Source organism: Homo sapiens, chromosome 10 (assembly GCF_000001405.40).
Source record: "Homo sapiens chromosome 10, GRCh38.p14 Primary Assembly".
Taxonomy (NCBI): domain Eukaryota; kingdom Metazoa; phylum Chordata; class Mammalia; order Primates; family Hominidae; genus Homo; species Homo sapiens.
This window is the reverse complement of record NC_000010.11, coordinates 119,820,029-119,842,426: the sequence shown is the minus strand read 5'-3', so window position 1 is coordinate 119,842,426 and position 22,398 is coordinate 119,820,029. Positions and strand designations below refer to the sequence as shown.

General features: G+C 38.3%; 2 protein-coding genes across 34 annotated transcripts in view; one reads left to right on the top strand and one right to left on the bottom strand.

The window, feature by feature from the left end:
• Positions 1–12,987, top strand: part of MCMBP (minichromosome maintenance complex binding protein) — a 44,142-nt gene extending 31,155 nt beyond the window's left edge. For 4 of the 6 annotated variants that reach the window (NM_001256379.2, XM_011540170.2, NM_001256378.2 and 1 more), the window contains exons 11-16: positions 1,467–1,584; positions 3,727–3,892; positions 5,398–5,531; positions 6,723–6,887; positions 10,327–10,415; positions 10,827–12,987. In NM_001256379.2, the coding sequence (NP_001243308.1) occupies positions 1,467–1,584; positions 3,727–3,892; positions 5,398–5,531; positions 6,723–6,887; positions 10,327–10,415; positions 10,827–10,953 (799 nt within the window). In that variant the 3' untranslated portion in view covers positions 10,954–12,987. The remainder of the gene's footprint in view (positions 1–1,466; positions 1,585–3,726; positions 3,893–5,397; positions 5,532–6,722; positions 6,888–10,326; positions 10,416–10,826) is intronic. The other 2 variants (XM_017016663.2, XM_005270157.5) reach the window with 1 other exon arrangement.
• INPP5F (inositol polyphosphate-5-phosphatase F) overlaps positions 13,280–22,398 on the bottom strand; it is a 103,098-nt gene continuing 93,979 nt past the window's right edge. For 24 of the 28 annotated variants that reach the window (NM_001441001.1, NM_001441011.1, NM_001441009.1 and 21 more), the window contains 5 exons: positions 21,510–21,581; positions 19,923–19,996; positions 19,228–19,356; positions 18,525–18,612; positions 13,280–15,796 (listed from right to left, as the gene is read on the bottom strand). In NM_001441001.1, coding sequence (NP_001427930.1) covers positions 14,647–15,796; positions 18,525–18,612; positions 19,228–19,356; positions 19,923–19,996; positions 21,510–21,581 — 1,513 coding nt within the window. In that variant the 3' untranslated portion in view covers positions 13,280–14,646. Of the gene's footprint in view, positions 15,797–16,408; positions 16,476–18,524; positions 18,657–19,227; positions 19,357–19,922; positions 19,997–21,509; positions 21,582–22,398 lie in introns of all 28 variants that reach the window. The other 4 variants (NM_001441018.1, NM_001441019.1, NM_001441020.1 and 1 more) reach the window with 4 other exon arrangements.

Below are 22,398 nucleotides of genomic sequence, written 5' to 3'. Positions count from 1 at the left end.
GGAAGTGGAAGAGCGGGAAGATTGCTGGTGTCATTTGTGTGTTTTCCTTATTGGGCTTCATCACATGGTTTTTATCTGTCCAGTGTTAACTGTTATACCAAATCACAGACAAATTCCTTTTCTCACAGTTCACATTTAGCATTTTGATTATGTCCCCTTAAATTTTAGAGCCAAAATCAGATAAAGCAGTGGTCCCCAACCTTTTAGGCACCAAGGACCCATTTCATGGAAGACCATTTTTCCATGGACCGGAGTGGGGATGGTTTCAGTATGAAACCGTTCCACCTCAGAACATCAGGCATTAGTTAGATTCTCATAGGGAACACACAGATGTGCAGTTCACAATAGGGTTCGCGCTCCTGTGAGAGTCTGATGCCACTGCTGATCTGACAGGAGGCGGAACTCAGGCGGTAATGCCCACTCATCCACCCCTCACCTCCTATGTTGTGGCCCGGTTCCTAACAGGCCATGAACCAGTACTGGTCCACGGCCTGGGCGTTGGGGACCCCTGAGATAAAGGACCTGGCTGATGAGTAAAATGAGCTGTTTTATCCCTTTTGCATTCTGAACGCTCTGTTTATACATCCCAAGGCGCCCACGTCATGTGCACGTTTAACGTGGACATTGACACTAGCACCGCATCCCTTGACTCCACTGTATTTCTTTGTTTCTCATTTTAAAACTAGTGTGGGCCTTTGACAAGTTCCAAGAACATAAGGAGGAAAATGCACATCATCTGTAATTTCACCACTTAGAACCTCCGTTAACCTTTAGGTACATGTTCATTGGTTTTTGTTTACATATGTATACATCCTTGCATAGGTCTTAGTTACACTCTAAGCACAGATGCGTGTCTTGTTTTCAGCAGTTGATATATATTAAACATTTTCCCATCATAATGCTTCATGAACTTTGTAGTGGCTGCAAAGTATTTCACTATGCAGTTGTACCATACTGTAACCATTTCCCTAAATGTTAGCTTTTCCTAGCTTTTCTCTATTATAAAGTTGCAGGAAACATCTTTGTGCTGTAAATCTTATCTTTTCTCAAATCAGTCTGTGACAGTAGTACATAATGGTTGAGAGCACAGGCTCTGGAACCAAACTACCCGGATTCATATCCCAGCTCTGTCAGCTTCCATTTAGATGAACATGTTGCTTATTATCATCTCTGTGCCTCGGATTTCTCATCTGTGAAGCAAAGACAACAGCACCTACCGCTGAATGGTTAGGGGTTAAATGAGGAAGCATTTACATACTCAGAACGGTCTTTGGCACGTGACCAGCAGCACTTACGTACAAATATTGGCTATTACTTTTATTGCTGTTATTCTGATAAAATAACTGGTCAGAATATTCTGGTTTATTTTTAATGACAATATTAAGCTAATTTTTCTATTCTTCGCTATTTGATAGAAATCAGGAAGTCACTTCAGCATCTTATTGATTGATTTCTTTCTTTTCTAGATATACAAGAAGAGATGTCCTTCCACTAGGAAAATTTACAGTTAACTTGAGTGGTTGCCCACGGAATAGTACCTTCACAGAACACTTGTATCGAATTATTCAACATCTTGTTCCAGCAGTAAGATGAATATAAATATGTATTATAAACCTAAGCACACTTAAAAAATCCATCTAACTGTCTTTCATTCACTTCAAATATTTAACTTAGAGATTTTAATAGATCTTATTTAAGGGGAAACAAAGCCTGCCAAATTACATAATTTAAAATGTACGTTCCCCTAAACATTTCACTTTTTTTTGTCTTTTTGCCTAAGCACAAATTTCTGTAAGTCTAACAAAACAATTGTAGTAACTCCCTTAAAATTACACTCTCTTGATACCAATTTGTCCAATTTGGTATCCTTTTTGTACACTAAAGTCTTAAATCTAAATAAACTCTAAATTGTAGGAGCATAATTCTTTTAGTTGAGGTAATAAAGTTCTTTATCTCCATTGCCTCAATTTTAATTCCTGTTTGGAAAGTTGAGCTCACTTTATTTGCCAGGGTATCTGGAATGCAGTATTTGCGTGGTGGTAGGATCTTGGGAACAGGGGAATTGCTTCTGATTAGTTGTGTGACTGAAAATACTGATCACTTCTTTGGAAATTGAAGAGGGTGCACTAGATCTTTATTGAACCGAATGTATTCAGTGTCTCAGTGCTAACACTCGTCCAGGCCCTCAAGAAGCAGAAGTGGACTGGAATATACCAGCAGTTCTCAGTCTCCTTAGACTCACTTTACACTCTGAAAAATGTGTTCATACTCAAAGAGCTGTTTTTCACGTTATGATTATATTTATCATTAATTTACCAAACTAGAAGATAAAGTAAATACACCTATTAAAAATAAAAAATTACATATAAATATTTTTATAAAAACAACTTTTCCCAAGCCAAAAATGATTAGTGATAAAGGTGACATTGTTTTACATTCTTGCAAATCTCTTCAATGTCTGGATTAATAGGAGACAATGGATGCTTGTATCTGCTTCTGCCTTCAGTCTATTGTAGTCTCAGGTTTTGGTTGAAGTATATGAAGGAAAGCTGGCCTCACACAGATGGAAAAGTAGATGGTAAAGGAAGGATGGTTTCGATAGCCTTTGCAGATAACTGGGTGGTGGTCTTTGATACTAGACCAAAACTGTCCACATGAGATTTTCTTAAAGATAGTTAAGTGTGGAATCTGAAATCCTATTCGTAAACTTTCCATAGTCTGCTATGGTAAAATTCATTAGTCTCGCACATTGAAAGGATCTTTTATCCATGCATGATTTTGACCTGATTGACCCTGTAAAAGGGTTTAAGCAATTCCCTGGGGGTTCTCGGGACCACATTTTGAGAATTATTGAAACAGATCCTTTGCCCTCACAGAGTTTAGGTAGAAGACCAACAAATAAATTAATACATGGTAGGTCATTTAAGCACCCCTAAGCTCCCCGTTTTCTTAGAATCACTGAGGTAATACACAAAACTCCTCTAAATTTTCGCAATATATCTTACCTCTTCCTTGACAGCCTTCCCCCACCATACCCTCTTCTCCATCCCTGCCACATTGTTTGAGGCTGGAGGGATGGAAGAATGGATTGGTGTATAAGGCAGAGCACAGAGGGTGTTGGGAATGGTGGCTCAAGAGCTGGAGGAGGAGCATAGATGGTTCGCTTACTCGTTAAACACTGAGTGAGAAGGTGCTCGCGTCCTGGAGGCACCTCCTGAGAGCTGCAGGTCCATCCACAGCTCAGTGTGCTCTGCTCCTTGATTTTTCTCTGAAAAGTTTGTTCAAAAATGTCTATGATAAATGAATACAATTTTAACTCAAAGAATATAGAGGAAAATTAAGCTTTTCTCTCCCTGTCTTGAAGAGTAAAATTAACATTTTCTTTTTGCTAGCTAGCTTGTGTTAGGTGAAAGAGGTTAGGTTTTGGGGTATTTAATATTTATATGTCAGTTATCTACCATTTGTTTCATTGGTTAAATTAAAATTGATTTTCAAGAATATTGAACAAGACATTTGAGAATAAAGTAGCTCATAAAATGGATGAAATTCAAATGTAAGATCTAGATACTATTTTTGCTTCTGGAGTTCAAGAAACCATATCACTACTCCCTTAGAAATTTATAAGATCACTTTTTCCATATGAAACACAATGTTTAATTCCAAGTACATATTTTCTTAAAACAGGGAAACTTAAATTCTTGTTCACTAAAAAATTTCTCTTTGCAGTCTTTTCGTCTGCAGATGACTATAGAGAACATGAACCATTTGAAATTCATTCCCCACAAAGACTACACAGCCAATCGCTTGGTCAGTGGGCTCCTCCAGCTGCCCAGCAATACTTCCCTTGTAATCGATGAGACTCTCCTGGAACAGGGGCAGCTGGATACCCCAGGTACGTACATAGATGTTTCTCTTCCATTTCTGACTTCCTTCGCACTAAAGCCAGATCTAGGAATAACTTTTAGAAGAGTATCTATGGACAAATTCACATTTAACAACGTAAGATAAAGGCTTGGCATATGAATTTGATTAAAGCATATGTTATAAACTAATTATATACACCAACTATGTTTTGCCATAGTATTCTGAAAGTAGTACAATGGAACAGATATATATCTTATATAATATATCTTATATAATATATATCATATATAATATATAATGTCTCATTTAATATATATCATATATTATATATTTTATATATTATATAATGGAGCAATAATATAAAGGGTAGTATTAGTATAATGGAGCAGTAATATAAAGGGTAGTATTAGATGTTGAGGGTCGTAAGGGTTCTTTGGTGAAAAGTTTTATTGTGTCAGCGAATGGTTGGAGCAGTCTTTATGGGCCTACAGTGTTGGGTTCTTTTGCGTAGTTGTATATAACCTAAAATTTTTTTTTCAGTGAGTGTAAGGAATGGTAGAGACAGGGTCTCGCTATGTTGCCCAGCTGATCTTGAATTCCTGGGCTCAAGTGATCCTCCTGCCTTGGCCTCCCACAGTGCTGGGATTACAGGTGTGAGCCACTGCACCTGCCCCAAATAGCTTTTTAAAAAGCTGAAATGGGAGGAAGCTTTGCCTTTAGTCATCTAATACCTCAAAAGGGAAGTGTAGAAAAGATCTAATATAATTTTTTTTTTGTTTTGAGACGGAGTCTTGCTCTGTCGCCCAGGCTGGAGTGCAGTGGCCAATCTTGGCTCACTGCAACCTCCAACTCCCGGGTTCACACCATTCTCCTGCCTCAGCCTCCCGAGTAGCTGGGACTACAGGCACCCGCCATCACGCCTGGCTAATTATGTTTTAACCTCCCGTTGTAAAGTTTGTAAATGGTTTTCAGAGAATGTCTGAGAAATAATAGATCAAATGGTTTGCACTAACCTCAGTTGCGGAATATATTATAAAATCACAAGAAAGCAGATTGTTTACCAGTGCTCAAATGAAGACAATTAAGAATACACTGCTGGCGATCAGCTCAAGAGGTAAAGGTAGAAGAAAAAATGAGGTAGACTGGGCATGTTTAAGGCAAAGGGGAATATAAAATCTGTAAAATTCACTAGGCTGATCTATGTATGACGGTAGTTTTAGTGTTTCCTTGGTTTAGCCCTGTAAATACACCACTTAGAAATAATCATACTTGGGAACTATTTTATGTCTAGGTGCATACCAGATGCTAGGTATTAGATTTGCGGGGGTATCGCCTGCCCCCAGAAAGTTCTACCTTGACCAAGACTGTTGTAAGCCTACACACTTAGTGACGTTTAGCTTAGTAAACTGGACAGCGCCTCATACCCTTTATTAAAAGTGGTAGAAACTTCATGGCTCATCATCGGTGTCAGCAAAACTGATGTGTTTAGATGATTAAAGTCAAATGACTGAAAGTGTTTTCCTGCCTTTGTAGGTGTTCATAATGTGACAGCCCTGAGCAACCTCATAACGTGGCAGAAGGTGGATTATGACTTCAGCTACCATCAGATGGAATTCCCCTGCAATATTAACGTTTTCATTACTTCGGAGGGGAGGTCACTCCTCCCGGTATGATGAGTCATTTTTAAATGGAGGGAGGTTGACATTGGAAAAATACCTACATTTTTGCTGTTTCTTGGTACCGCTTATTAATAAGTTACATTTGTTGTAAAAAAAAAAAAAAAAAAAAAAAAAAAAAAAAAAAAACTGTGACTGCTGATCATTAAGGGAATTGAGTATTTTGCACTGCCATGGATGAAAACCTTACATCTACCAAGCTCAGGTATCAGCAAGTCATGAGACCAGCAAGGCTGTTGGCAGCAGAAACACCCACATCTGAGCATAGCGAGATTGCCTGATTTTAACATCCAGACTTCTGTTCTTGCTACCTTTGACCCATTGTTTTCTGCTAATCTTATGTGAAAAATATTTCAGAGTTCTTTTAAAATGTCCTTGGTCACTTGGTAGTTATTTTCATGCTTTGTGGTGAAATGCTCTGGTATGTCTTCAGAGTGGCTGGTAAAGAGAGCTTTTAATTCTGTGGATGATGGGAAATGCTCCCAGTTGTCAAATGGTGTGTAGTCTCTGAATAATAGTATTCACCTGCGATTGATGAGAAACCGCCTTTGACTAAGAATGAAATGGCTCAAGGATATGTTTTCTGTGTGCAAGTATTGATAGACCTTTTTAATTAGCTGCTTTTTAGAGGTTGGCTACATTTTTGTGTGCTTACTGATACCATTGAGGAAACATAAGTAACCAAGAAAAAGCTTTCATAATTATTTCTGAGGTAGTTATAAAGCATGTAAATTAATATTAAAAATAGATGCTCACTGGCTGCGGTGGCTCACGCCTGTAATCCTAGCACTTTGGGAGGCCAAGGCAGGTGGATTGCGTGAGCCCAGAACTTTGAGGCCAGCCTGGACAACATGACGAAACTTGTCTCTACAAAAAATCCAAAATTAGTCAGGCATGGTGGCGTGCACCTGTGGTCCCACTACTGAGGAGGCTGAGGTGGGAGGATCACTTGAGCCTGGGAAGCAGGTTGCAGTGAGCTGCAATCACACCACTGCACTCCAGCCTGGGTGACAGGACAAAACCCTGTCTCACACACAGAAAAAAAAACATTATTCCCTCCCCCTAAATAATAAGTGGTATTTTCTAATTCCCATAGGGGCTGACAGAGATGATGCATCTTTCTTTAAAAATGTAGATTAATTTAGGAACTCAGAAAATACAGTGTACTCCTTCTCTTTTCAGGCAGACTGCCAGATTCACTTACAGCCCCAGCTAATTCCACCAAACATGGAGGAGTACATGAACAGCCTTCTCTCAGCGGTGCTGCCTTCCGTGCTGAACAAATTCCGCATTTATCTAACTCTTTTGAGATTCTTGGAATATAGCATATCTGATGAAATAACCAAGGTATGTCTAGGTTAAAATAAAGGATTTCCCTGTGTTGAATTGCAGTATGCAACCAATTTACATTTACCATAATTACTGATAAGGTAATTTTGTTATTTGTTTTCTGTCATGTCTTTTTTTATTCCTCTGTTACTCCATTATTGTCTTTTTGTTTGAAATAGGTATTTTCCAGTGTCCCATTTTAATCCCTTGAAGTTTCTTAAAGTTATTTTCTTAGTAGTTGTCTTTGGGGGATAAACTTAACATGTTAGTATAATCATCTATTAGGGATTAATGCCAGTTTGTTTAGTTATTTTTAATTTAAAAAAAATTTGTGTGGCTAATGCCATTTTAATTATATTATACAAAGACTTTGCCCCTTTATAATTCCGTTCCTTCTCCTCTCCCTTGTGCTCCTGTCATACAATTACCTCTCAGTACATTGTATGTCCATCAACACATTTAGAATTACTGCTTTTGCAGTTGTCTTTTAGAGAAAAAAGTTAGAAATGGAAAAGACTTCTGTACTATTTTTTCTATTTGCCTATGCAATCACTTTTACCAGCACCCTTTATTTCCTCATGTGGGTTCATGTTACTGTCTAGTATCTTTTCATTTCAGCCTGAAGAACTGTCTTTAGTGTTTCTTGCATGGCAGGTCTACTTGTGCAAATTCTTTTTTTTTTTTTTTTTTTTTTTTGAGACAGGGTCTCGCTGTGTCATCCAGGCTAGAGTGCAGTGTTGTGATCATGGCTCACTGCAGCCTCAACCCCCCCAGGTTCAAGCGATCCTCCCACTTCAGCCTCCTGAGTAGTTGGGACCACAGGCATGTGCCACTGTGCCCAGCTAATTCTTTGTTTTTTGGGTTTTTTTGTTTTGTTTGGGTGTGTGTGTGTGTTTGTGTGTGTGCAGATAGGGGATCTCTTTATGTTGCCCAGGCTAGTCTCGAACTCCTGGGTTCAAGTGATCCTCTCTCCTTAGCCTCCCGAAATTCTGGAATTAGAGGTGTGAGCTACCTCGCCCAGCCCTCTTTTAAGTTTTTGTTTATCTGGGAATGTCTTAATTTCTCCTTAAGGCTAGTTTTGCTGGATGTAGAATTCTTGGTTTATAGTCTTTGTCTCATCATTTCGAATATGTCCTCCCACCACTTTCTGGCCTCTGGTTTCTACTGAGAAGCCAACTAGTTTCTGATAAGGATCCTTTGTACACACTGAGTCATTTTTCTGTCACTGCTTTCAAGATTTTGTGGCTTTTGACAGTTTCGATTATGATGTGTCTATGTGTGGATCTCTGAGTTTATCCTACATGGAGTTTGTTGAGCTTCTTGGAGGTGCAGAATAATTCATATTTTGGGGAAGTTTTCAACAAGTTTGGGAAGGTTTTGGCCATGTTTCTTTCTGCCTCATTTCTCTCTGCTCTCCTTCTGACACTACCACTGTGTATCTGATGTTGCATTTAATGGTATCCCACAGGTCTTCAAGGCTCTGTTCATTTTCCCTCATTCTTCTTTTTTTGTTCTGTTTCTTAGACTAATCTCAGTGAACTTATCTTCAAATTTAGTGATTTTCTTCTGCCTGATCAAATCTGAGCACCTCTAGAGAATTTTTACTATATTTTTCAACTCCAGAATTTTTATTTCCTTCTTCTAAAAAATTATTTCTCTCTTTTTATTGATACTCTCTATTTGGTGATTCTCATATTTTCCTGAAGTTCTTTTTATGTGGTTTCCTTTATTTCTTTGAATGTTTAAAATAGCCAATTTAGAGTCTTTTTGTCTAATGTTTGAGTTTCCTCTGGGACAGTTTTCTACTGACTCCCTTATCCCCAAAGTGTGAGCCATACCTTCTGGTTTCTTTGTACTTTTTTGTTGAAAACCAGACATTTTATTTGGTCAGTGGGGTCTCACTGTATCACCCAGGCTGGAATAGTAAGTAGCACAGCCACAGCTCACTGCAGCCTTAAACTGCTGGGCTCAAGTGATCCTCTTGCCTCAGTAGCTGGGACCATAGGTGTGCACCACCATGCCCAACTAAAGTTTTGTTTTTTTGTTTTTTCTTTTCTTTTTTTTTCTTTCTTTTTTTTTTTGTAGTGATGAGGTCTTGCTTTATTGCCTAGGCTGGTCAACTCCTGGCTTCAAGTAGTCCTCCCACCTTGGCCTCCCAATGTGTTGGGATTACAGGTGTAAGCCACCACATCTAGCCACAACCAGACATTTTAAATTATATAATATGGCAACTCTGCTTTGGAAGTTACTCTGGAAATTAAACCTCCCTAGGGTTTATTGTTGTTGCTGTTTGTTACTGTTGGTAGGTTGTTTAGTAACTTTTTTGACTAATTCTATAAAGTCTGTATCTTTGTCACATGTGGGCACTGAAGTCTCTGCTCTGTTAGTTTTGTGGTTAATGATTGGAAAGAAATTTCCTTAAATGCTGGGTAGTAGTCTCCCAGTCTACGGGTGAATAATAATCATAAATAAAAATAAAAGTTGGGGCAAGCCCTCAGTTCAACACTTAGCCATGCAATTTACAAGCCTTAGCCTTCATTTCCTGCTCGCACAGAGCCTCCAGGTCATGCAGAGGTGGGAGCTATGGTCTCTGAGCATGTCTGCAGCCTTCTGAGTTCCTAGGAGTTACATACTTAAGGTTTTCAGAGCCCTCTACAGACATGTCATTTCCCAGCTAGCTTTTCCATTGAAGGGTTTGGGTTAGTCTGTCTGCCGCAGCTGTTACCCAGTGTCTCAGGTAGCTAAGGTGATTGGTAATTTCTTCCGATTGTTTTTGATAAATGCCCTGGGGAAAGAGGTGGTTCATAGTAGACAGGCTTCCAGTCAGGTTAAATAAAGACAACCTTGCAAATGGGTCCTTCCAGGGAGCCACCAGACAGGTGGTCAGATGACAGTTCTCCGGGAATGGCACTTGGAAGGAGCCCTAGCCCTGTTCTCTCTCCGGTGGCTGCCAGGCTGTTGATTTTTGAAGCTACTAATTATCGCCTGGAGGGGAAGGGGTTGGAATTTAGGAGTAGGACATGTTAAAATGCTGCCAGGCTCAACATTCTTACCAATAATCACCTGGTTTTCTTGCATAAATGCTCTCTGGATTGCTGCAAGTATGGTTTTATTTCTAGTTTTTAAAAAGCTGATTTTGATCAGTGTTAACAGTAGAGACAGTTTTCTGCGGTCCCTTCTCTGCCATTTTCACTAACATCACTCTTCCTTTGTGGAAAAGCATTGTTTCCTATGCCAGTTGCTGATTTATATGTTTGCTTGACCTTAAATGAATCTGAGTTTCATTATTTTATTTTCATCAGCAGCATTATGTATGTATATGCTTTGGTACTTTCACCCATATTGCCTCCTTTGTCTAAGAGGCTGACATGCACCTTACTACATCAGTCAAGGAACCATGTTAATTTTCTTTTCCTTACAAAAATGCACATCATTTACATTTACTCTTTTGATAAAGGCAGTTGAAGATGACTTTGTGGAAATGCGGAAGAACGACCCTCAGAGCATCACTGCTGATGATCTTCACCAGCTGCTCGTGGTGGCTCGGTAAGTGGCGCACGTCCATTATTGCTGTTTCGGTAAGCTTGTGTATATGTCTTCTGAGTTATTCAGCAGTAACTGAGGCAGAATTCTAAAAACGGAAATGAACTTTTCCTTTTAAAAACGCTGTATGAAAGGGCTCATTGAGGGGGAATCGAGTTTGGCTGGTGATCTCTTCAGTGGAACAGGCATGCTGCTTGTTCTCTAAGCTTCAAAGAGTGAGCCACTTTCCAATTCTGACTCTTCAACGATTTCTTTTTAGAAGCCTAACTTGGCTGTTGACTTGTGTGTAACTACCATACGGTCTTGTCTCCTAACGTGCTCTGTGTTTTCACAAAGTATTCCTAGGTCTTAAAAAAAATTTAAAACTTACTATCCCAGCTCTAGACTTAAATTTGTTTCTGTGTTTCAAACCAGGTGTCTGTCTCTCAGTGCTGGTCAGACAACGCTGTCAAGAGAACGATGGCTGAGAGCAAAGCAGCTAGAGTCTTTAAGAAGAACGAGGCTTCAGCAGCAAAAATGTGTGAATGGAAATGAACTTTAAAGATGTAATACCTATGAAGAGTAATGGGCAAACTGTAGCCACATAATTGTAAAATTCAGATATTCATTTATACCACATTGTTTTATAGGTAATTTCTATCACAAACCAGTGACATTTCCTGAAATCAAGCCTGGTAACACCTGATGTTTATATGATATTCAGTAAGGACTTTTACCTTACTGATTTCATGGAGCTTTTGAAGTTTGTTTTATAATAATTATATAAATTAGTAATGATGTAAAAAAAGTATTTGATATTAAAAGTTTAATATTGATAATGTTGCTGATTGTACCATTTCCTTAGCTTCAGCTGAGTCATAGGCCAGACTGTTGAAATGCTGAAATGAAGAAGGTTGTTGCAGTTTCAAAGTCAGAGGAATCGTGCTTCGGATTTCTTATGTTTTCTAGTTCTCTGTTTTTCCAGTTCACAGTGGGTTGGGGTGCATTCAGTAGTCCATCTTTGGGGAACGGAGGCGTACTTGCCATTGATTCACATGACTACATGAAATTCTGTACTGTCATTTCCCAGATGTTTGGCCACAGAAACTTTTTCCCACTTAACATTTGTTAACAGCCTGCAAAACTAAACTTGTACATGGCAGTGGTTCCCAGACTTTTGTATTTTATGGACCGGTAGTAATATTTCCAAAAATCTGGGGTACTATAAGGTTGCCAATTTACCTTGCCAAGTAATCCGAATAAATCACTGTATTATCACCATTTTTTTCATAAAAGGAAAGGACAATCTATCTCTGAATAAGAGGAGTCCTTTAAACGGAATGAATGTGGCTTTTGGGGGCAAAAGAAACCAAGACACTACATTGTCTTTATTTTCTCCTATCCCAGTGCATTTGAGAACCATGCATAAGGGAATGCTGTGCTACAAAGCTGTGCCCAAATATGAAAACAAAATAGGAAACTTAAAAAGCAATACCCCCTTTAGAAAGTTTTTATTTTCTTAAATGTCATTGAGTTGCTTTGATTCTATTGGATTTTTGGCATTTTTTATGGGATCATCAGTTGGTTCCAAGTATGTTAGATCAGCTAACATCTGCTACTCCAGTAACAGCCTCGTACAACTGCAGGTAGGTTTTCTCCAGACCAATTAGTTTTAATAGAGCAAACTAACAACAGACTGTAGTAGCATGGTTATGGCAACCAGAATCTTCAGAAAGGTTAGGACATTACTTTTTAAGCTGTCAGTGGTATCAAATAACTTACCTAGTTGGAGGCAGATAAAGGATCCCTTACGTTTTTTCCTATAAGGCCTAAATTGAAATTGTTAACCAAGGAAACAGGGTCAGCCTTGAAAAATCAAGGAATTCATTGTACCTAATAACTGAAGTAAAAATAACTAGTTGTTCAACTTTTCCTAAACTCAAATCTATTTTTATAAACAAATGTAAATAATGTTTATATTAGAGTTGAACTGGTTTTCATTTTTATAACTGGTAGACTAGACCTTCCTTAAACTTTTAGAAATAAAATGAAGGCTTCACTGGATTTGTGAGGATAAAATACATTTTCTTTAATTGTCCTAGAGCAAAGTACATTAGTCACCATGTGTTTTTTGTGCCAATGTAAATTGTAATTTACCAAAGAAAAATACATACATTGCTTGGTCTTGCAGAAAAGTTCCCTTGAAAGAACCTTTCCAATAAATAAAACGTCCCAAATTAGCAGTACCTTGGGCTGTTTTTCATGAGTAAGAAGATTCACCATCCCATGTGATCTGTGTGGAAAAAGACCATGTCCTCTTGGTGGAAGACATGAGAGAGCTGAACTGAAGTGGAGGAGGTGGTGCAAGAGGGACCTTCCTGCTCAAGGCCCGCCCAGGCAGCGGAATGGAGTGCAGTGCTTGGCTGCAGAAACCCTTTGTCCCTCACCTATATATACACGGACAGTCAAGTTTGTTGCTCTAACGTAAGGCACAGCGTTAATCCTGTATGGCCAGGAAACTGAGTAGACTCCTGTGTAACCCTGTTTGGAACTTTGCCTTCTTAAAATGATTTTTCAAAGATCTCTTTCGAACTAATTTCTGTAGAGTTTAAACGTGTATTTTATCACCTAATGTTGGGTTGTATTTTCTCCCATGTTGGGAACCCTTAATATTTTCAGGACCCGGAAGAAAAGTTGGTAGAAGCAAGCATTCAGTTTTGAATGTTTGGATTTAAAGTATAGTTTCTGATCCATTTCCCTTTTTACATCATGAGTATATTTCAAAGGAGTAACATACTGGCAACAGCTAGACCAAGTGTTCAGTTATAGCAAATCTGCCGTTTACAAATTCTTTAATCTGTTATGCAAGGAATTCTCATACCCATTTGTCACTTTAAATTACAATGGTACTTTATTTTAATAATCACAAGATTTAACACGTAAAAAAAAAAGATAGCACTAATAAATAACAAAAGTGGAATGCTTATCAAAGTAACGACATAATGTTCAGTTGAGAATCAGTCACTTCAACAGAGTAAAGCTCTAAAGACACCAGACGAACCAATACTTGTTGGAATATGCCATACAACTTTCTTACTGTGGGGATTACAGGGGCAGCCCTGGTTCTGTGTGGTCAGAGTTATAGTCAGACAGATTCAGCACAATTGTGTTTCAGACTAAATTGTTTTTGAGACACGGTCTTGCTCTGTCCCCCAGGCTGGAGGTCAGTGGCACGATCACAGCTCACTGCAGCCTCAATCTCATGGGCTCAAGCAATCCTCCTGCGTAGCTAGAAACACAGGCATGCACCACTATGCCCAGCTAATTTTTGTATTTTTTTGTAGAGACAGATGTTTCCCAGGCTGGTCTCAAAACTCCTGGCCTCCCAAAGTGTTGGGATTATAGGTGTGAGCCACTGCACTAGGCCCAGACTAAATTTTGAAGTTGTGGATCATCTACATAAGATGTCGAGGATGCCCCTCCTGGAATAAATTAAAACCTGACTGACTTCTAGAATTTCCAGTAGCCAATATGGGTGTTCTTACATTCCTGAAAACAGCAAAATGAAACCTAATAGGTGCTGGTATTCACCTCTGATGTATCAGGTTTACTGTGTGACAAGTCTTAATGCTCCTAGGTTTACATTGTATAGGCAGCAGAGTATTTTTAATGTGTTCAAGTAGAATACGGGGAAAATTAGGATCAAATGAGAATTCATTTCTCTAGTGTCAATAACCCTCAACTCCTCAGGGAACAGTTAAGCCATCAAAACTAAAATAGCTTTATATTCAAATGCTTCAGTAACATGTTAAAGTCACTAAAAACTAAATGTGTAATTTACTTTGTAGAGGTAAGAACACACAGGAATGAACTGACAAACAGAACAAATTATGAAAAACGCTAATCCCCTAAGCATCTGCATGTCCAGCCCTTGTGTCTACTGTAGTCTACCCACCCCACTCCAAAAAAAGGTTCAGGTTATATCCCAAAGTGACCTGTTGCTGAATTACTTTCAAATAAGCAAAGTGCTCTGTAGTGTATAAGCTACTCAGGTCTACACATTCTAGAATGATGCACTTCTGTAGTCCTGGCTGTAAAATTTGGAAATCTACTCAGGTTCCGACTCCGTTTAAAACCCTTTCCAATGAACAGAATTTGTGATCCCTGGGTTCAGACAGTACAATTAAAATACCCCAAGAGGTGAAAATTTCATATTTTTAAATAAAAGCCATGGAAGGATTCTTATGGCTAAAAGCTAAATCTGAATTATCCGTGTCTGGCATTGTATAAACATCTTTTTAAGTTCATTTTGCTGGACTTGATTAATGATTTCAGGTTCTGGAGGACTCTTCTGAACTTTTGACACTGCAAAGTTTATCCCATGGGTTAATCCAGCTTGGGTAATACTAGCAACCTGGACCATGGAACTTCGAATCTTGGCAAAGGGAGAGACTGCTCTGCTGCTACTGCTCTCTGAAGGAGAAGGAGTTACATGAAGCCCTGTCTCAAGTTCAAGCATGCTGGAAGCGGAGGTGGGGGTTTTTTGAGATGCAACTGAATGCGCTGGCTCAACTGACAAAAACTGTGGGCCTGTTGCAGAAAGAGAGACATCTAATTGCGATGGCCGAGAAGGTGTCTGTTCTGTTGATTCTGATTGGGTTTCATTTGAAACTTGATTGGTCATTTGATTTCTTTCCTGACTAGCCTGCTGAGACACAGATCTGGTCTCTGATAGGTGGGTCACTTTGTTCTGTGCATCTTGCACAAATCTGTGGCAGTAAATATCCATAGGCTTGGCAAAGCCAGTCAATATGTGTACGTCGCCAGCAGAAGGACTTTTCTTCAAAGGAGACTCCTGGCCTTTTCCAAGCCCACTCCCATGAGCAACAGTAATCTCTGAAGGAGCATGAACGCTACTATCTGTGCTGCTAAGAGACTGGGACCGACTGCCCAATCGAGGCGCTGAGGCAATAATACCACAACTAGGAAGAACGTAATCTATTGGCCCTACACTCTCTAATGAGTTAGCTAGCTGCCTGTCTTCATCAGACTTAGAATTTGTAAGGAATTCATCAGAGTGGTATGAGTCATTATCTGAAGACATGTCCCCATCAGACTCTGCCTGAACCTTATCCATCACTCCTGTGTTTTCCATAGTTTCAAGACTACTATCTGATTTCCAAAGATTTACTTTTAAGTTTGGTTTTAGAAAGTTAACTTTCATTTCAGGTTTGGTAAAGTTTCCTAGCTTTCGGAGGTTGCCAATATTTACATTGGATTTGGTCTGCTTCACTTTTTGATTTAGAGATGAAAATTTGCTCATTAAAAAATTCTTTCCCTGGGCCAAAGAACCTTGGTTTTGAGACCTGATACCAATGATGTCTTCGTGAGGTTTACTGCTCTTCCTACAAATTAGAAGAGAAAAAAAGTTAATTCCCCATGGAATCCAATATGCCAGTTCCAGTTATTAACATAAGTGAAAACAGTTATTCAAATTGGTCCCAACTTCTTGAAAACAGTGCATTGCTAACTGACAGATAACCCTCAGAGTTGACATTAAAACAGTGCTATCCAATAGAAATATATGAAATACATGCATAATTACAATTTTTCTAGCAGCCACATTAGAAAGCAGCAGTGAAATTAGCAGCATTTCATTTAACCCAATATATACAAAATATTTCAACATAAAAATATTAAAAGATGATTAATATTCCTTTTTGGACTAATTCAATATAGGCAATGTGTGGTGTTCTATAATTACAGCACACCTGAATTCAGCCTAGTCGCATTCTAAAAGGCTTCACAACCACATGTGGTGAGTGGCTACCATTGTGAGCAGTGCGGGTCTAGCACAGCCACCATCTGTACAATCAGCAAAGACATCTCTGACTGTAAATGGGAATCTGCAGCACCTTAACTAAGGTTATCTATACACATCCCAGTGTGGCTCAAATTCAGATAGTGGGGGGAGACAGGAGTAAGACTTCCATTTTCTTATATGTCCTGTGGGTTACCTGATTTTAAAAGATTTGGGACATTTAACAATTAGTGTCTTCTCTCCTTTGGTATCCCTCATGACAGCTATAAATAAGAAAGAAAAGTTGATGCTATTTGCCACAAATGTCTCAGTGTGTGCATTTGTACTGTTGGATCATGCAAGATCACTGATCATGAGCATACTGCAGAAAAATTATGGGTTAAAGTAATTCTTTAACAAAAGCCTGAACAATTTTCTTCCGGCCAAATGGCTCTCTTCACTAGCAGAATGTGGACCACAAAACCTGACAGATGCTCATTAGAAAGAAAAGCCACACTTTTTAAATATGAAATAATCTGTTGATAGGCATTCTTTTTCCAAATTCAAAAGCCTAGTGTTTAAAACATACTATTTTCTCTACAAAGTATTTAGAAAAAATTTCAATGTTTCCTCTCATCAGTTTACTTAGGAGTTAAAAATGTATCACTTGTGGCCACGTGAGTTGTGTCAAGGATGGCAAAATCCTTGCAGGGCCCTTGCTCTCAGACCGGTTCTCTTGGCAAAATACCACCTACGTAAATACTTGTGGAGACAGTCAGTGTTACTCTGTATCAAAACTTTTAAACACACCTAGAGGGATATCCTAAGCATATTTTAAATGCCATATCACTCAAGATAATGAAACTCTGGGTCTTCAGAGTTTTTCTTGAAACTGAGGATAAGCAATAACCTTTGTATGGCACTGTTAGGGACAAGTGAAATACCCACATCTTTTAATCCAGATTCACAACCTGAGGATGCTATTCTAAAGAAATCATCCTAAACATGAAAAAGTAATACATGACAAAGGTATCTGTCATGACTTCTTTATAAAAGGAAAAAATGCTTAGCAACCAAAATTCTTGGCAATTGAGTTTAATAGCTGTGTGCCAGGTCTGAGTGCGTTATTCAGTTCATGCAATGCACTGACATGGATTTTCTCTCATCTTACAGATAACAAAACTGAAGTAAAGGAGTATGTTTTCCAAGGTTAAAGAGTAATTGATAGAACCAGGAGTCTCAGAGTCCATGTTCTGAACCCACACAATACATTTCCAAACTGATCACAGGAGGCATCTATTTAAATGGTAGTTATGAATTCTACAGTAATGTGGAAAATGCATAAAATACAATCTTTGGCAATAAAAGGTTATTAATCTGTATAGGTTAAAAATGTGTACAAGAGGCTGGGTGCAGTGGCTTTACAGAAGAATTCCAATTAACAAGTGTAGAAGGAATGAAAATTAGAAAAATGACCATAGATCATGACAGGAATAATTATTATAGAAAAGATCCACAATGGTTATGAAAATGAATAGTCTTAGGTTTACACAGAAACAATATTTACATAGTCTCAAAGTAATTTCCCCTAAATATTTAGCAATTATAAAGAGGAAAACACAAAGTTTGCAGTGCAGAATCCTGGCAGATGCTACCCCAGCCAAGTAATCAAGCTTAACCTCAACAATACTACACAGGCCATCACGCCCTCCCTCCCCACAGCACGAGGCACTAAGAAGTGCACGTGGCTTCTGTGGTGTCCTTCCTGACCATGCATAACCTTAGCTTCATCAGGAAAGAACACTGGACAAACCTACATGGAGGGATGTTCTACAAAACAGCTGACCAGTACTCTTAAAAAATGTCAAAGTTATGAAAGAAAAGACAAGATTGAGGAAATAACATTAAACTACAGAGACAACTAAATGCAGTGTGGAATCCCAGACTGGATCCTGGAACAGAAAAAGGATGCTAGTGAACACCTAGTGAAATCTGTACTTTGGTTAATCTTACCGTGCCAAGGTTACTTTCTTAAGTTTTGATAAATGGTCTATGGTTATAAGTCGGTAATATAAAGGGAAGCCGAAGGAAGAGTACATGGAAACCCTCTAAACTACCTGTGCAACTCTTCTGTAAGTCTAAAACTTACCTGAAAATTGTATACATGAAGAATGTTGAAAGTATTTTGATCTGCAGAAATTTGATCCTTACCTCTCTAAATACCAACACCTTACCATAATGTGATCTCCTCCCCTTTCCCCCTGCAAATAATTTTAAACAAATAAGACCTTGGATAAGAATGCCTTTATTCTTGAGAGAAGCAGTATACTCACCTCTCAAGTTTCTTCTCAATTATGGGTAAATCCGATCCCATGGCTTGCTTGGTGATCTGCAGCATCTCTGCAATGCACTGAAGGGTATCTGCAACCCAAATATAACTGCCTGCCAATTTCTCCATAAACATACTAAAAAAAATAGCAGTTCTAACCCATTTAGCGCTGAATGAAATTTGTCGTCGTATAATTAAATACAAATTTATTTGCTTCGATTTATAGAAAACTGCCACCTGTTCACTAGTCTCCCCCACTTAATTCACAATGTTCTAACATTTTAAAAGAACAAAAGCAAAAGAATGAAATCGGGGAATAAAAGTTTGTTCTAGTTCATGTTTGTTCAAGCACTGTGACAGATGCCAAGGCAACAGCCATGAATGAGACAGGCATGATTCCTACCTGCTACAAATGAAAAGAACATGACATGTGAAGAGCCTTGACACCCATACGATCACTGATGGGGCCAAACTCCCTGAGAATCCCCGCTAAAGATTCCCTTGCCCCAGACTAAATAATACATTCAGATAATTTCCCTGGGTTGCTGGAAACAGAGTTGCTATTTCAAGGTCTCATATTCCAAAGCTATTCCCTGGACCCTCTCTCATTCAGTTGGTTATGATATGAAATGTCCCCAATTCCATTTGGGCTTTTAAGAATAAATAGAAAGTTTTCACTGAATACTTTCATCTCTTCCTCTTTTTACCTTTTCCATCCTCTTCAGGATTACGCATTACAGCTCGCAATGTGTGGAAATAGCCACTCGCTTCTTTGTATCTGTAGTGCAGTCGCATGCAGGAGAACTTTGGCTTACCAAAAAGAGTGGGTTCAGGGCCTAAAATCCCAAATGAATACGTATAAAGTTAAATGTTTCACATAACATTTTCTTCTATTATCTTAAAAAGACCCAACACATTTTTCTTCATAATATAAATGACAGCACACAAAATACAAACTTCTGGTGACCATTTGGTTTGATAAGGCTAGAAGAACTCTTTCAATTTCAATCATTTAAGCTTTCTTGATCCCTGGGGTAATCTTCACAAGGTAAATAATAAAAGGAACACAGTTATTATGATAAGACCATATCTATCACTAACCTATAATGAATAGAAAGGAAGTTCTAAGAAGTAGACAGCTTGGAATATCCCTTTCTGGTTTCTAACAGATGTTATACTGGTCTCCAAATTCCACTGTAAGAAGAGCCGACATTTCTGCCTTAGGATTTCATACCTATTCCCTAGACCTCATCAAAATGCTACTAACAACAAATGGAAAATAATAGTGAAGAAAAGCATTTGTAGGTGAAACTTAAACCAGGTTCTTGCTTAAATAATTTGACCCCCTCTTGGAAACAACAGCATTTGCTTTTGATGACTTGATTAGTATGTTAAAACTTACCTATTTCAATTTTTTCCAGGTTTTCTAGACTTAGTCGTTGATACTGGTTTACTTTATCAACTTCATCATCATAACTAGATAAAAGGAAATGAAGTTAAAAGAGGATTTAAATCAAAAGCATATTTGGCTTGTCAGGGAAGGCATAATAGCTGCAAACTGTTACATACAGTTAACAAAATCTTCCACAGCACATACATTCTGGGGTAAAATGTTAAACATAAGAACTCTGTTAAAAATTAAACAAGAATAACATATATATAGTTCAACAGCTAAGGGAAAATAAGTTTACACATCTAACAGTTAAAAAAAGCAACTACGGCCAGGCGTGGTGGCTCACACCTGTAATCCCAGCACTTTAGGGGGCCGAGGCGGGTGGATCATGAGGTCAGGAGTTCGAGACCAGCCTGACCAACACGGAGAAACCCCGTCTTTACTAAAAATACAAAATTAGCTGGGCGTCGTGGCAGGCGCCTGTAATCCCAGCTACTCAGGAGGCTGAAGCAGGAGAATCACTTGAACCCAGGAGGAGAATCACTTGAACCCGAGAGGCGGAGGTTGCAGTGAGCAGAGATCATGCCATTGCACTCCAGCCTGGGCAAAAAGAGCGAAACTCCATCTCAAAAAAAAAAAAAAAAAAAAAGCAACTACAAGGTTAAAATATTTTAAGTTTTATAAAAACTCATATAAAATGAAAACAAACCTAAAACCTAACTTACAAGGCAAACACATGCGCGCGCGTGTGCACACACACACAGAGCAAGAGACGGAGGGAGGCAGAGATGAAGGGAGGGAGAGAGAGAGAGGAGGGAGAAAGACAGAAAGAGAAACAAACTATGTATTTGGGAACAATACAGCTGTTAAATCTGATATCCAAAATCGAGAATGAAAAATCCATATGATATATGCCAACAGGCATCTGGGCAAATGACTAAAAAACAATAGTTTACACAAAGCCAAAAATAAATTGAATATTTACTTAGTAAATACAAATTAGAACAATTCTGGTAAGGTGTGAGGAAACAGGTGCTTGTATTTTGCTACTAGCACTGTTCATTGAGAGTCTTTCTGGAGATCAATCTGACAACAAACCACAAAAGTCATAATTCATCATACCCTTGTAACCAAAGAAGTGCGCAGGCACATGCACACACACACACACACACACACGTTATTGCATAAAGACAACTGCATCATTGGTAGTAACAAAAAATTGTAAGTAATTTAATACCTAACAGTGAGGAAAAACTTCACTATAGTAATGCAAACAATGATACGTGGTCATTAGTGATAAAAACGTATGGAATACATCAAAACCTGGGAAATATATAGGAAATAACACCAAATGCCAAAAGAATACACTATAACATAAACATACTAATTTAACTGTAAAATCTTGCTTTCAAACCGATAAAGATAAAAGGAAGTTAGAATGACGTAACAGTTATATAAGGTAAAGGGGTTCAATGAAGTTTCATAAAATACATAACAAAACCATATTCTCACATTTTTTTGTTACGAATTCTAAAAAGAAAATTTACTCAAGTTTAAAAAACAAAATCAAAACCTTTAAATCAATAAGCAACTTACTAGGCCACGTAGTAGGCAGAGTTAGAAAGCAGTAACAGCACATCCACGTCTCTGTGAGTAGCATCAATGAGGCTAAACAAATATGACACAGGAGATTAAGTATTTTCATTTCCATCTGCATTTTTTGCCAAGCATATTTCTACAGCAGAGCTACTTAGGACAAAAAATTGGCCAGGGGGAGGGAAAAGAAGAAGGTAATCAATGAGTTCTACTGCAGTTAGATGTAATACAATCTATCCATTTGGACAGTCTTTAAAAAACAAGGAAAAGCAGATGTGGGAAGTGAGGGATGGAGCGTAGAGAAAGGCAGCCAAAGGAGGAAGGAGTCCCTCAGGAAATGGGATAATTTGAGGTGGGGGACTGGTGGTATTGGAGGATGATAGAGAAGCAGTTAAGGGAAGAAGAAAGAAATACGTGAGAGTGAGAAGGGAGAAATCATCTAAACTATCTCACATTATCTAATCTTCAAAATAACACACTATACATTCAGGATATCTTTACATTCATGTGGAAGGCATCTTTTGAAAGACTTTTACATTAATACAGTATTTATGTGCAAAAATGGAACAAGTCCAAGCTACTTTTGCATTTTTGTCATTATAGATTATTTGGCTTTCAATAAACAAACACTTCCTTATTCCATTTTGCCATATTTATACCCATTCTAAAATCAATGATGAAAACAAGAATTAGAATCCAGGTAGTGTTCATGAACCATGAAACCAAAACTACAGTAAAATGTACATCCTTGTAAAATTACCAATAAGAAAATTCTTAAAGTATAAAATCTACAAATAATTAACAACACAGGCAGAATCTGAATTAAGGTGAAACTTTTAGTCTAATATTAATCTAACAATAATAGCCTTTCCAGCAAAAGAGAGATGTT